The sequence below is a fragment of the Homo sapiens genome, chromosome 21 (genome assembly GCF_000001405.40).
Source record: "Homo sapiens chromosome 21, GRCh38.p14 Primary Assembly".
In the NCBI taxonomy this organism is placed as follows: Eukaryota; Metazoa; Chordata; class Mammalia; order Primates; family Hominidae; genus Homo; species Homo sapiens.
The window spans coordinates 36,319,271-36,334,532 of record NC_000021.9 but is presented as its reverse complement, the minus strand read 5'-3'; the positions used below and the strand labels follow the sequence as shown (position 1 = coordinate 36,334,532).

At 45.2% G+C, this 15,262-nt stretch overlaps 1 protein-coding gene across 3 annotated transcripts in view, besides 1 other annotated feature; it reads right to left on the bottom strand.

Moving 5' to 3' along the window:
- The window catches only part of MORC3 (MORC family CW-type zinc finger 3), a 56,436-nt gene extending 42,100 nt beyond the window's left edge, over positions 1-14,336 (bottom strand). The window contains exons 1-3 of one of the 3 annotated variants that reach the window (NM_001320446.2): positions 14,230-14,336; positions 4,540-4,625; positions 815-887 (exon numbers count right to left, since the gene is read on the bottom strand). Coding sequence is in view for 1 of the 3 variants with exons in the window: in NM_015358.3 (NP_056173.1) it covers positions 815-887; positions 14,230-14,268 (112 nt within the window). In the remaining 2 variants the exon portion in view is untranslated. The remainder of the gene's footprint in view (positions 1-814; positions 888-4,539; positions 4,626-14,229) is intronic. The other 2 variants (NM_015358.3, NM_001320445.2) reach the window with 2 other exon arrangements.
- Positions 13,753-14,212: a silencer, noted in NCBI's record as "silent region_13284". NCBI's record gives its function as "represses an Ori minimal core promoter by ATAC-STARR-seq in GM12878 lymphoblastoid cells {active_cell/tissue: GM12878}" and the evidence as "EXISTENCE:reporter gene assay evidence [ECO:0000049][PMID:35858748]".
- Positions 14,337-15,262: the final 926 nt, after the last annotated feature.

Sequence of the window (15,262 nt, the reverse complement as noted above, 5' to 3'; positions counted from 1 at the left end):
AGCCCAGGAGTTTGAGACCAGCCTGGACAACATGGTGAGACCTCATCTCAAAATAAGCAAACAAATTCCCCATAATTCTCACTGTTTACTTTTATAATAAAAATAAAAATATTTTCAATATAAACACTTCAGGAACTTAGCAAAGTAAATCCTAAACACTATGAAATACTTGGGTAGTATTAAAGAGAAAGCTGAACAGTGACTAATCTGACATCCATGTGAATAGCTGTTATGCTATGCAATTTTTATCATTAATGTTATCATTCAAGGTATCTGTTTTTTTTCTTGCTTTGTCGCCTGCCCAGGCTGGAATGCAATGGCACAATCACGGCTCATTGCAGCCTCAACTTCCCGGTCTCACGTGATCCTCCCACCTCAGCCTCCTGAGTAGCCGGGACCACAGGCCTGCACCACCATACCCAGCTGATTTTTAAAATATTTTTGTAGGCCGGGTGCGGTGGCTCACACCTGTAATCCCAGCACTTTGGGAGGCTGAGGCAGGCGGATCACGAGGTCAGGAGATCGAGACCATCCTGGCTAACACAGTGAAACCCCGTCTCTACTAAAAAAAAATACAAAAAAATTAGCTGGTCGTGGTGGCAGGTGCCTGTAGTCCCAGCTACTCAGGAGGCTGAGGCAGGAGAATAGCGTGTACCCAGGAGGCAGAGCTTGCAGTGAGCCGAGACTGCGCCACTGCACTCCAGCCTGGGCGACAGAGAGAGACTCTGTTTAAAAAAAAAAAACAAAACAAAACAAAAAAAAAAACACTACAATTGTAAGCAACAAATGGTATATGAAATGTCAAACTACATACCTATTAATTCAGCAACTGCACTGAATGGCCAGGTGTGACTAGTAGAATTTGTATGTAAAAACTTCGGGCAAAGCTGAAACAAACAAAAGGTCCATGTAAATTAATTCAGGTCTTACTTTTGAAAATAAAAACCAGTATTTTTATCCCTGTGTTAAACAACATTGAGACCAAACAAAAGTGACTTAGCTGCTTGCTCCAGGATACATCTGGAAGATACAATCTAGAATATACGATTCTTGGAAGATAACACTGGGAACCAACTAAACAGCTTACTCACCAAGACTTGGTTCAAAACCCTTGCCCTCTTTATGTCTACAATGTCATAACTGTCCAATCCCAAATAGGGACATACCTTGCCAAGACCTACCTTAAAATGATCCAGCCAAGGCCCTAAAATCCTATAAACACCATTTCCTAATTTCTCTATTCTGAGACACAACTAAGACTTTGTCAAGGAGGCACTTTCTCCTACGTGTATCAGGCCTAATAAACTTAACTGTGCTTGATCACTAAGTTTTTCTGGCACTGTGACTTCATTATTTACTCCAAGTTCATTATAGCTGAACTTGTAGCAGTGTAGTAGTATACATCTACAAACTCTTCAAAGAATTCAAATAAGAGTTACAATTGTTGGCCGGGCGCAGTGGCTCATGCCTGTAATCCCACCACTTTGGGAGGCCGAGGCGGGCAGATCACGAGGTCAGGAGATCGAGACCATCCTGGCTAACATGGTGAAACCCGTCTCTACTAAAAATACAAAAAAAGTACCTGGGCGTGGTGATGGGCGCCTGTAGTCCCAGCTACTCGGGAGGCTGAGGCAGGAGAATGGCATGAACCTAGGAGATGGAGCTTGCAGTGAGCCAAGATCGTGCCACTGCACTCCAGCCTGGGCAACAGAGCGAGACTCCATCTCAAAAAAAAAAAAAAAGAAAGAGTTCCAATTGTTAAACTAAACTAAACTTGGCCTGAGGATGCCTCCATACTCGAGTCAGTACATAAGGAACTACAACCTAATAGTATGAAAACTAACTGTACAAATTCTTCTAACTTAGGGCAATTTGTACTCCAGTAACAAACAGCTGAGTCTCAGTCAACTACAGAATCCCATCTTCGGTCAATCACAGGTCACCAGCTGATTTAAATAAGGCAAAATGCCAAGCTGCAACCAATTAAACTATTTCTGTATCTCACTTTTGTTTTGTCCATAAATATTGCCTGATCACGTTGCAGGCCAGAGTGCTTAGAACCTGTTCCGGTTCTGAAGCCTGTCCTATTTTTTTTCTGAGACAGAATCACACTCTGTCACCTAGGCTGTAACGCAGTGGCACAATTTCGGCTGACTGCAACCTCCGCCTCCTGGGTTCAAGCGGTTCTCCTGCCTCAGACTCCCGAGTTGCTGGGATTACAGGTGCGCACCACCACACATGGCTAATTTTTTGTATTTTTAGTAGATAAGGGGTTTCGCCATGTTGACCAGGCTGGTCTCAAACTCCTGGCCTCAAGTGATTCACCCTCTTCAGCCTCCCAAAGTGCTGGGATTACAGGTGTAAGCCACCACACCCAGCCTCTTATTTTTTTCAGAGATAGTCTCTCTCTGCTGCCCAGGCTGCAGTGCAGTAGTGCAATCATAGCTCACTGCAGCCTTGAACTCCTGAGTTCAAGTGATTCTCCTCCCTCAGCCTCCCGAGTAGCTGGGACCACAGGCATGGACCACTATGCCTGGCTAATTTTATACTTTTTTGTAGAGACAGGAGTCTCACTGTGTTGCCCAGGCTGGTCTCCAACTCCCAGCCTCAAGTGATCCTCCCACATTGGCCTCCCAAAGTGCTGGGATTGCAGGAGTGGGCCACTATGCCCAATGTGCCCAATTCTTGAATCATTCTTTGCTCAATAAAACTTTAACTTGTCTAAGGTTTTTCGTTTGAACGCAATGCAACAAATTTGCATTGCATCTTAATTCCCAAGGCTTTTATGCCTGATTTTACTCACAATTCATTATGGAAGAATATGCCAGTCAACCTCATGCTATTGGGAACTCTCTTAAGTTCCTGAGTAGTGGTACGTACCAAATGTATAAAAACACACAAGTAGTTTTTTTGTTTGTTTTTTGTTTTTTTGAGATGGAGTCTCGCTCTGCTGCCCAGGCTGGAGTGCAGTGGCGCCATCTCAGCTCACTGCAAGCTCCGCCCGCCGGGTTTACTTACACCATTCTCCTGCCTCAGCCTCCCGAGTAGCTGGGACTACAGGTGCCCACCACCATGCCCAGCTAATTTTTTGTATTTTTAGTAGAGACGGGGTTTCACCGTGTTAGGCAGGATGGTCTCAATCTCCTGACCTCGTGATCTGCCTACCTCAGCCTCCCAAAGTGCTGGGATTACAGGCATGAGCCACCGTGCCTGGCCAAAAACACACAAGTAGTTTTAAAAGGCAGAGCCTTAAAAATTTCAGTATGCAGAGAATTTTCATGCAATTTTTTTGTTCATTCTGAACAGATTCTCTCCTAATAAGGGGAAAAAAGGTGGAAAGCACTTTGCAGTGTGAAGAGCCCTAAAAATATGATTAGACTGTAGATCAAGCCAACCACATCTGTAGTGCTCACGTGCTGCCACAAGGTGTCAGAAAGGTCTACTTCTCCTCTGTCCACACTTGCTTCTGGACAATTCCAAAACCTTCATTTACCATTAAGTTGAAGCACACAAGTGAGAAACAGTATCCTGAAGAAGACTGTTCAAACTGGTATATATGCAATTTAGACTTGCTCTGGCAGACATCACATAATACAGCATACATCCGTGAAATATGGAGTATAGGTAACTCAAGACTTTCTAAAGCACACATCACAAACAGTTCTTAATGAAACTAAATTTCTAGCTCTTCATCTTGCACAAGAAGTCTTTTTTCAAAAGTGAGCCATCAGGAAAACTTTCCTGTCCCACCTTCTCCCCTGTACAAATATCATTCTACCACTGATAAAAGAATGATACACTCCTCCCCCACTCTACATCTTAACCATGGGACATGGCCTTGGGGTGTAAAACCTCTGGCTACTGTCGACTAAAAAGAGTCAAAGTTTGTAAAATATTTGAAGATGTTTATTCTGAGCCAAATATGAGTGACCATGGCCCATGACACAGCCCTCAGGTGGTCCTGAGAACATGTGCCTGAGGTGGTCGGGGAGCAGCCTGGTTTTATATATTTTAGGGTGGTATGAGGTATCAATGAAATACATTTAAGATGTACATTGGTTTGTTTCAGAAAGGCGAGACAAGTCAAAGCGGGGACTTCCAGGCTATAGGTAAATTTATACATTTTCTGGTTAAGATTGGTTGAGTTTGTCTAAGGACCTGGGATCAACAGAGAGGAAATGTTTGGGTTAAGACAAGGATTGTGGAGACCAAAGTTTTACTACGCAGAGGAAGCTCTTAGCTAGCAGGCATAAGACAGAAGAGGCTGTAAAATGTTTTCTTATGAGACTGAAAAGGGTGCCTGACTCTTAATTGATTATCTCCTGGATCTGGAAAGAAAAAAAAAAGGGAATGGCCAGGTGCGGTGGCTCAGGACGGGTCTGGTGGCTCACACCTGTAATCCCAGCGCTTTGGGAGGCCAAGGCTGGTGGATCACCCAAGGTCAGCAGTTTGAGACCAGCCTGACCAACATGATAAAACCCCATCTTTACTAAAAATGCAAAATTAGCTGGGCCTGGTGGCTCATGCCTGTAATCTCACCTACTTGGGAGGTTGAGGCAGGAGAGTTGCTTGAACTCAGGAGGCGGAGGTTACAGTGAGCTGAGATCAGGTCATTGCACTCCAATCTGGGCAACAAGAGCGAAACTCCGTCTCAAAAACAAAAACAAAAAAAAACAAAAAAAGAAAAGAAAAAAGGGAAAAGAGGATTCTCTACACAATGTACATTTTTTTCCACAAGAGACAAACTTTGCAAGGCAATTTCAAGATATGACAAGGAAATCTATTTAGAATTATTTTTATTTCTTTCCTTGTTATGTGATGTTACGCCAGAGCAGTATAATGAAGCAGGTCTGACCCCAACTTCCTGTCATGGCCTGAACTAGTCTTTCAGATTAAATGTTAAGAGTGCCCTGGCTGAGAAGGAAGTCCATTAAAATGGTTGGAAGAGCCTTAGAATTTTATTTTTGGTTTATACTACCAAACAAGGAGAAATTAGTCAACTACTATAAACCCTTAGTCTCCTGTACTTCTGACAGACCAACCATAAATTGGGCATTCACATGATTCCCCTCATGTTTGATAATGTGCTATAATGCTCACAAAACCCAAAAAAAACACTGATTCATTGTAAAGCAAGCCTGTCCAACCCTCAGCCCCCATGGGATGCATGTGGCCCAGGACAGCTTTGAATGCAGCCCAACACAAATTTGTAAACTTTCTTTTTTTTTTTTTGTTTTTGAGATGGAGTCTCGCTCTGTTGCCCAGGCTGGAGTGCAATGACATAATCTCGGCTCACTGCAACCTCTGCCTCCCGGGTTCAAGCGATTCTCCTGCCACAGCTTCCCAAGTAGCTGAGATTACAGGCAACTGCCACCACGCCCAGCTAATTTTTTTGTATTTTTGGTAGAGACATGATTTCACCATGCTGGCCACGCTGGTCTCGAACTGCCGACCTCAGGCGATCCGCCCACCTCGGCCTCCCAAAGTGCTGGGATTACAGGCATGAGCCACCCTGCCCGGCCTGTAAACTTTCTTAAAACGTTATGAAGTTTCTTTCGTGATTTTTTTTGTTGTTGTTGTAGTTCATCAGCTATCGTTACAATTTCTTTTTCTTTTTTTTTTTTTTACCTCATCAGCTATCGTTAGTATATTTTATGTGTGTGTGGCCCAAGACAATTCTTCTTCCAATGTGGCCCAAGACAATTCTTCCAATGTGGCCCAGGGAAGCTAAAAGATACAATGTAAAGGATATTACAGACTGGGCCCAGTGGCTCACACCTGTAATCCCAGCACTTTGGGAGGCTGAGGCAAGTGGATCACCAGAGGTCAGGAGTACAAGACCAGCCTCGTTGACATGGTGAAACCCTGTCTCTATTAAAAATACAAAAAATTGGCCAGGCGCGGTGGCTCATGCCTGTAATCCCACCACTTTGGGAAGCCGAGGTGAGTAGGTCAACTGAGGTTAGGAGTTCAAGACCAGCCTGGCCAACATGGCGAAACCTTGTCTCTACTAAAAATACAAAAAATATCCAGGCGTGGTGGTGCGCGCCTGTGTCCCAGCTACTGGGGAGGCTGAAGCGGGAGAATCACTTGAACCCAGTAGGTGGAGACTGCGATGGCGCCACTGCACTCCAGCCTGGGCGACAGAGGGAGCATGAACTAAGGTGTGGTTAAAAAAAAAAAAAAAAAAGGCGGGGGGGGGCTTATTATTATAAATAACAAAAGATGTTCCACTCATAGTTATCAGGAAATACCAAAGATTTCAGGAACTCCAGTGCCAAGAACCAGGACAAAGAACAAATATACATTTTTGATCATATCAAATGTATGTAAATGTGAAATAAAAAATATAGGACAGCTGGGCGTGGTGGCTCACACCTATAATCCCAGGACTTTGGGAGGCCGCGGCAGGTGGATCATTTGACGTCAGGTGTTTGAGACCAGCCTGGCCAACATGGTGAAACCCCGTCTCTACTAAAAATACAAAAATTAGCTAGACCTGGTGGCACACACCTGTAATCCCAGCTACTTGGGTGGCTGAGGCATGGCAATCACTTGAACCCAGGAGGCAGAGGTTGCAGTGAGCCAAGATCATGCCACTGCACTCCAGACTGGGCAACAGAACAAGACTCTGTCTCAGAAAAAAAAAAACAAAAAAGGAGGCCACTGTTTTGGACTAAGCTCCTGCTCTAGGCCTCCAAAAACAGACTAAAAATCAAAATGGAGTCACCCATGCTAAAATTTCAGTCACCAAACTGAAACTAAGTTGTTATCTGACCTTCAGCGAAATCAAGGGAGATAACAGCCAATTTACCGAACAGGTCAGTTTCAGTCATCAACTGGTATGACAGATAATAAGTTCCCTCCATTTTGTTGTTTTACAACAAAAAGTAACCTAATGTCAGTCAGTTATTTATCTATTGTTTTTAACTTTGAAATGACGTATCTGCTTTTTGTTCTTTGTTTCTGCTTTCTTTCGGCCTTTTTCTGTCTACAAAGCCAGCCTCCTCTGTTCAGTTCACTAGAACACTTACTGTATTTTATGGAAGAAGTGTTGCCCAATTCCAGAATAGGAAATAAAGGCCAAGCACGGTGGTTCACTCCTGTAATCCCAGCACTTTGGGAGGCTGAGGCGGGCAGAACACTTGAGGTTAGGAGACGAGCCTGGCCAACATGGCAAAACCCCGTCTCTACCAAAAGCCAAAAAAATTAGCCAGGTGTGGTGGTGAGCGCCTGTAATCCCAGCTACTCAGGAGGCTGTGGCAGGAGAATTGCTTGAACATGGGAGGAAGAGGTTGCAGTGAGCTGAGAGATCTCACCACTACACTCCAGCCTGGGAGTGTCTGTCTCAAAAAAAAAAAAAAAAAAAAAAAAAAAGAAATAAAGCCAATTAATATCTTTAAATTTAAATTTGAGGCCAGGCGCGCTGGCTCACGCCTGCTGTAACCCCCGCACTTTGGGAGGCTGAGGTGGGCGGATCACCTGAGGTCAAGAGTTCAAGACCAGCCTGGGCAACATGGCAAAACCCGTCTCTACTAAAAATACGAAAATTAGCCGGGCGTGGTGGCAGGTGCCTGTAAACCCAGCTACTAGGGAGGCTGAGGCACAAGAATCGCTTAAACCCGGGAAGCAGAGGTTGCAGTGAGCCGAGATCGCACCAATGCACTCCAGCCTAGGCGACAGAGCGAGACTCGGTCTCAAAAAAAAAAAAAAATCTTTAAATTTATAATGTTGTCTTCTGACATACAATAAAATATTCACCTTAAGCAAACAAGGAAATCCTAACGCACACTACAACATGGATGAACCGTGAAGACATTAATGAATAAGGCAGTCACAAGTCAAATATTGTATAATTCCACTGATAGGAGTACAGCAGTCTCCCCTTATTCTCAGAGAATGCATCTCAAGACCCTCAGTGGATTCCTAAAACTGCAGTATACATATGTATGATAAAGTTCAACTTATAAATAAGGCACAGTAAGAAATAAACATTTTATTATTTATTTATATAGAGATGGAGTCTTGCTCTGTTGTCCAGGCTGGAGTGCGGTGGTGTGGCTCACTGCAACTTTCACCTTCAGGTTCAAGCGATTCTCCTGCCTCAGCCTCTGGAGTAGCTGGGACCACGGTTGTGTGTCACCATGCCCGGCTAATTTTTTTTTATTTTTGGTAAAGATGGGGTTTCACCATGTTGGCCAGGCTGGTCTCAAACTCCTGATCTCAAGTGATCTGCCCGCCTTAGCCTCCCAAAGTGCTGGGATTACAGGCATGAGCCACCGAGCCTGGCCAAATTAACAATAATTTATTCTATTTTTTTTGTTTGAGAATAAGTTTCACTCTTGTTGCCCAGGCTAGAGTGCAATGGCGCGATCTCAGCTCACTGCAACCTCCACCTCCCGGGTTCAAGCGATTCTCCCGCCTCAGCCTCCCAAGTAGCTGGGATTACAGGCACCCACCACCATGCCCAAATAATTTTTGTATTTTTAGTAGAGACTGGGTTTCACCATGTTGGCCAGGCTGGTCTCGAACTCCTGACCTCAAGTGATCCCCCTGCCTCGGCCTCCCAAAGTGCTGAGGCGTGAGCCACTGCGCCCAAATTAACAATAATTTAATAATAAAATAGAATGATACAACAACAGCAAATCTGATAACCACAGCTACTAAGTGACTAATAGGTTGGCATCATATATCCACAGTGTGGATACACTGGACAAAGGGATGATTCACATTCCAGGTGCTACTCAGATGGGGGCACAGTTTAGAATTTATGAACTATTTCTACAATTTTCCATTTAATACTTTCAGACCATGGTTGACTTTGGGTAATTAAAACCGAAGAAAGCAAAACTGCAGATAAGGGGGGACTACCGTAGTCAAATTCCTAGACAGAAAGTAGAATAGTGTTTGTCAGGTGCTGGAGAAGTTACTATTTAACGGGAACAGGGTTTTAGTTTCCCAACAAGAAGAGTTCTGGAGACTGGTTATTACACAACCATGTGAATGTACTTAGCACTACTGAATTGAAACTTTAAAATGGTTAGCATAAATTGTTTGCTACATGTGTTTTATTACAATAATAAACAAATAATCAAACAAACAGCAAGTCAGCAAACTGAACAATGTGATACGCCTTTCTTCCTTTCATGCCAATTTCCAAGAGCTAGCAGCCAGAATTATGCCATGGCAGGAGACCAGACGTAGAATTCCTCCTTGGGAAGCTGATTTCTCAAAGTTCTATTTGGTTCTTAGCAATTCCGCCTGGCTTTTCTGGATAGCATCTTGTTTTTGTTGTTCTCGTTTTTTAAAATTACTTTTTAAAATTTTCAGTTTTTAAAAATATACTTATGGTCCAACAGTTCCCATTTTTTATGGTCTACAAATACCAACATAGAGCACCCCCAACAAAATGACTCCTTCCTATGTGATCACCCAACAGTGAAGCCCACCAAAGGACTAGCTCTATTCATGTATGAAAATTTTGCAGTCAGCTTTAAGTGTCTCACTTAAAAATGTGAGAAGGCTGCCAGGCGCGGTGGCTCACGCCTGTAATCCCAGCACTTTGGGAGGCCGAGGCGGGTGGATCAGTTGAGGTCAGGAGTTCAAGATCAGCCAGGCCAACATGGTAAAACACCATCTCTATTAAAAACACAAAAAATTAGCCAGGCATGGTGGCGCATGCCTGTAATCCCAGCTACTTGGGAGGCTGAGGCAGGAGAACTGCTTGAACCTGGGAAGTGGAGATTGCAGTGAGCTGAGATCATGCCACTGCACTCCAGCCTGGGCAACAAGAGTGAAACTCCCGGCTCAAAAAAAAAAAAAAAAATGAGAAGGCTGTTTCCAGACATTTGAGAGTGTTTAAAATTAGAAACCAAAAACAATACACAGTAAAAGAAACATGAAGAAAATAGAGATAATGCAGTGAGCAAAACAAAACTTCAAAAATACTACGGTTAGGCCAGGCATGGTGGCTCACGCCTGTAATCCCAGCACTTTGGGAGGCCGAGGCAGGCAGATCACGAGGTCAGGAGATCAAGACCATCCTGGCTAACACGGTGAAACCCCGTCTCTACTAAAAATACAAAAAATTAACCAGGCAACGTGGCAGGTGCTTGTAGTCCCAGCTACTCGGGAGGCTGAGGCAGGAGAATGGCGTGAACCTGGGAGGCGGAGCTTGCAGTGAGCCGAGATCGCGCCACTGCACTCCAGCCTGGACGACAGAGCGAGAAGACTCCATCTCAAAAAAAAAAAAAACTACAGTTAATGTATCTAGCAATAAGAATGAACATTTTGTCCAGGGAGAATTCAAAAAGACATTCAAAAGCTAAGACATTGCTTGTAACAATTAAAACTATGGTGGCCGGGCTCGGTGCCTCATGCCTGTCATCCCAGCACTTTGGGAGGCCAGGGCGGGCAGATTACCTGAGGTCGGAAGTTCAAGACCAGCCTGACCAACATGGAGAAACCCCATCTCTACTAAAAATACAAAATCAGCCAGACGTGGTGGCGCATGCCTGCAATCCCAGCTACTCGGGAGGCTGAGGCGGGAGAATCGCTTGAACCCGGGAGGCAGGGGTTGCGGTGAGCCGAGATCACGCCCTTGCACTCCAGTCTGGGCAACAAGAGCGAAACTCCGTCTCTAAAAAAAAAAAACACTATGGTAAGAGCAAGGTAGGAGATAAGTAGAGGAAATCCCCCAAGAGGAAAAACAATAAGACAGTAAATAAAAAAAGAGAAAAATGGTGCGAAGAAAATTGTCAAAATAAGTAAGAACATTTTCCAGATGTTAAGGACTTGAGCTTCCAGGCTAAGTGCCCAATAAAATGCAGAGGCTCTATTAAACAATCAAGCACGTCTTTAAAATTCGGAAAGAATTTCCAATCCAGAATGCAAATCCAGCCAAATTATAATTAAAGAAAGAGCAAGGGTAGCATGAATGTATTTTCAAGAAATGATGAAATTTTTTTCTTCCCATGAACCCTTTTTTCAGGAAGCTACACCTGTTTCTGGAAGTGGTGTTATTGTTAGTGGTGGATATTCTCCACCACTAACAATAACAAAAACAGCAAACATTATTGTGCACCTACGGCACGCACAGCCCTTTTATTTATCTATCTGCTCATGTAATTTTTAAAACAACACTTTGAGGTGTGTAAGATTATTATTGCCAACATTCAGATTGGAAACTCTGGCACAAAGAGGTTAAATGACTTGGCCAAGGACATACATCTGGTTATGAGTCAGGATTTGAACCCGAGAGAGTAGGCTTCAGAATGGCAGTCACTAAGCTACATATCAGACAGAAGGATATGTGAGATGGAGACACATGAAAAGAGGAAGGAAATTTCCAGACAGATGTTAAAGGGAAGTCCCCAAATTACGACTGAGCCGATGACTCCCAACTGACTTCCAAATGACAAAACACTGGGTGTGTCTGAATCCATCTGGAAAAGAGCTCCCAGTTCTCTGGATGTCTGGATGATCAGTACAGAGAAAAACTAAGAAAACAAAATATAAATCAATTAACTTCAGGGAAAACAAAAGGTTTGTATAGGAAAGAAAATGCAATCATACTACCCTGGCTAGCTCATTTGTAAGAGTAATAACAAACCATATAGTAATTCAACCAAAAAAAGTGAAAAAAGCATTGAAGTATGGGAGGTGGTGAAGAGTGTGCATCAGCTAAATCCACAGCAGCATTTCTGAAAAAAAAAATCAACAACAAAAACCAAAGTATATGCATTTCATTTCACTAGAATTACAGGGGTAAAAAGCAAAAAATTTAAAAACTTTTTGTCACTCTGCATTTCATCCTGGGATCTCCGACCTCCTAAATGACTGTTTAAAATGTGTATACATTGGGCCGGGCACAGTGGCTCAGGCCTGTAATCGCAGTGCTTTAGGAGGCCAAGGCAGGAGGATCACCTGAGGTTGGGAATTTGAGACCAGCCTGGCCAACATGGTGAAACTCTATATATACTAAAAATACCAAAATTAGCCGGGTGTGGTGGCCCACGCGTGTAAACCCAGCTACTCGGGAGGCTGAGGCAGAAGAAGTGCTTGAATCCGGGAGGTGGAGGCTGCAGTGAGCCGAGATCGTGCCACTGCACTCCAGCCTGGAGACTGAGTGAAACTCTACCTCAAAAAAATAAAATAAAATAAAAAAGTGTATACACTAAGGGTTCACCCTTTGTGCCTTAAAATGTAGGACTTTTGACAAATACATAAGCTCATTAATTTTTATCTCTTAACGCATGCATTTGAAAACTATAAGCAAATAATGTTTCTGGCTATATTCCAATAAAATTTTATGGAAACTGAAATTTGTATTTCGCATAATTTTTATGTCACTAAACATTCTTCTTTTTTTCTCAACCATTTACAAATGTATAAATCACTCTTAGCCTTCAGGCCACACAAAAACAGGTGCTGGGCTGGATTTGGCCCATGAGCTGTATGTAGTTTGCCAACTCCTGACCTAAAGCAAAAGCAAAGAGGCTGCAGATGGGAGATTTCTGTCAGTCAGGTTCCCAACAGCCCATATTACCCACAAAACAAAGACCCAGCACATGGACAGCAGCTACACCCAGAGTGCCCGCTAACAATGCTGGTCTCTAAACACTGACCATTATCTCTGCTTCCTTTCTCCCCTCAATCTTGAAGAGCCAGAGTCTACAAGGGCCTGGGGGCGGGAAGGGAGAAGAGAATCAAAGGACAGAAACAGGAAATCAACTCACTCCGTTTCTCCACTACAGGTTTCTGGGCCTGAACAAGACTCAACCTCGAGAGAGGAAGGAGAGAGAAGTGGGGAAAGGAGATAGGGGAAAGAGAGGGGGAAAAGGGAGGGAGAGAGAATAGAGATTTTAAACTAGGTAAGGCCAGACTTTACAATACCTTAAGCTAATGGGAAAGCGTTAGTCAACCCAGATTCACACAAGTGGGGAATAATTAATGTTTACACTCAGTGGTTAAAAAAAAAAAAAAGAAAAAAAGAATAAAATTGTCCTCTATTTTCAAACTACTAAAGCCTAGCTCACTCAATAAGCTAGTTACATAACGAAAGGATGGACCTTTATCCAGAATACGTAAAGAACTCTTACAAATCAATAAAGATCCTCCCAAAAGAAAAACAGAAAATGGTCAAAGGATATGAATAGGCAATTCAAAAAAACAAAACAAAAAACCACAAAGACTAATACATGCGAAGAGCTCAACAACACAAACAGTCAAGGAAACGCAAGTAAAAGCAAATATCATTTCACAAATATCGGACTAGAAAAAATTTAAAGTCCGTCAAAACCAGGTGTTAGAATCTGCCTAAACGAATGAAAGTCCCAGAGCAATGCACCAATTATTCACTACGTGTTTGTACCCCAAGGAGTCACTACCCATTCGAATGTTAAAATTAGTGGCACTAGGGCAGTCATTCTTTGGCAAAAGTCAACAACCTCCAGAAAAGAGGAACATTTCAGCATAACATCAACTGCGCTCACAAGGTAGAAAAGTTTTTTAGGATAATCAGGTGGGGAAGCCACGCCCACATTTCCTGGACGTGAGATTTCAAGTTATCTTGTGTGACCGCTCCCTACGATTTAAGATACAAGAAATGTTCACAGGGTTTCCAAGAACTCGAAACGCCCCAAAACAGACGCAACGCGGGATAAAGAGGAGAGCTCGAGCTCAGCGATCTAGGGTCTGGGCCCCAAGGCTTCCACTGCCAAGGAAGCTGCAGGCACTGACAGGCATCAGGCACACTCATCCTGACTCCACTCGCCCGCAGGCAGGCCCGCAGCCCCGTCCCCCCGCCCCCGGGACGTCGAGGCCGCCGGCGTTTCTGGACGCGGAACCCGCTCCCTCCCACCACGACGCCCAGCGGACAGAAGAGGGTCAGGGGCCCCGCGGCCCCGAGAGCAGACCGATCTCCCGCCGAGGCCTCGCCCGCGGACGACAGCTGCTGGGAGACTAGGAGGGAGCTGGGAGGAGGAGCCGCGACCCTGGCCCGCCCCGAAGCAAAACAGAAACACAATGCAGAGGCGACGGAACGCAGCCCGGCCCGCAGCCGAGCTGTTCCGCCGACGGGAGCGAGATGGCCGCCCCCTCCCCGGGCCCCGCCGCAGCCCCCGCCGCCGCGTCGGCCCCACAAGCCGCCACCGCCCACTGCCGGCCCCCCTTCGCTTGCCCGCCCGCCCTCCTGGGACACGGCCCGCTCCACCCCTCGCGGCTGCTCACCGCGCTGAGGCGTATCCCGCGGGGTGGCTGCGCCGCCATCTTGAGCGAGCTACAAAGCCAGGAACGGCCTCCGCCGCAACCCGACTGGGAGGTGGCGGAACGACTGTGGAGCCCTATGGGTACCGCCCACTTCCGGGGAGGGGCGCACGTCTGGCCCCTCCCACCCACTTCCGCCTCCAGGCAATGCCGAATTGGGAGCTTGGGGAAGATGAATTGCCTGACTGGTTAAAGCAGGGTACAGTGGGAGCTGAGCTTCCAGCGCGGGGCCCTGCGGGCCTAGGGCGCATGCGCGAGGCGCGGCCGGCCCGTACCCGTCTCGACACCCAGCTGGAGCTCGAGACTCGGGGATCTAGAGTTTGAAGCCTGGCGCGAGATGCGGTATACCCGAGACCGGTGAACTCCAGTCACTTGACCTGGTCGGATGTGAATTGCGCAGAAAAAAGCCATTCCATATCCACCAGTGTCCATGTGAAACCTTAACGAAATAAAGACGGAAATTAATGTAGACTGTTTGGATTTGCCCTGAAAACTATCAATCTAACTCATGATTTAAAAAAAAAAAAAAGAGTTCTGGGGCCGGGCGCGGTAGCTCACGCTTGTAATCCCAGCACTTTGGGAGGCCGAGGTGGGCGGGCGGATCACCTGACTTCGGGAGTTCGAGACCAGCCTGACCAACATGGAGAAATCCCATCTCTACTAAAAATACAAAATTAGCCGGGCGTGGTGGTACATGCCTGTAATCCCAGCTACTCGGAAGGCTGAAGCAGGAGAATGCTTGAACCCAGGAGGCGGAGGTTGCAATGAGCCGAGATTGCGCCATTGCACTCCACCCTGGGCAACAAGAGTGAAACTCCGTCTCAAAATAAATAAATAAGAGTCCTAAAGGCATAAGGCCGGTGCAGTGGCTCATGCCTATAATCCCAACACATTGGGAGGTCGAGGTTGGGGGTTCACTTGATAGGGGTTCAAGACCAGCCTGGCCAACATGGTGAAACCCCATCTCTACTAAAAATACAAAAATTAGCTGGGCATA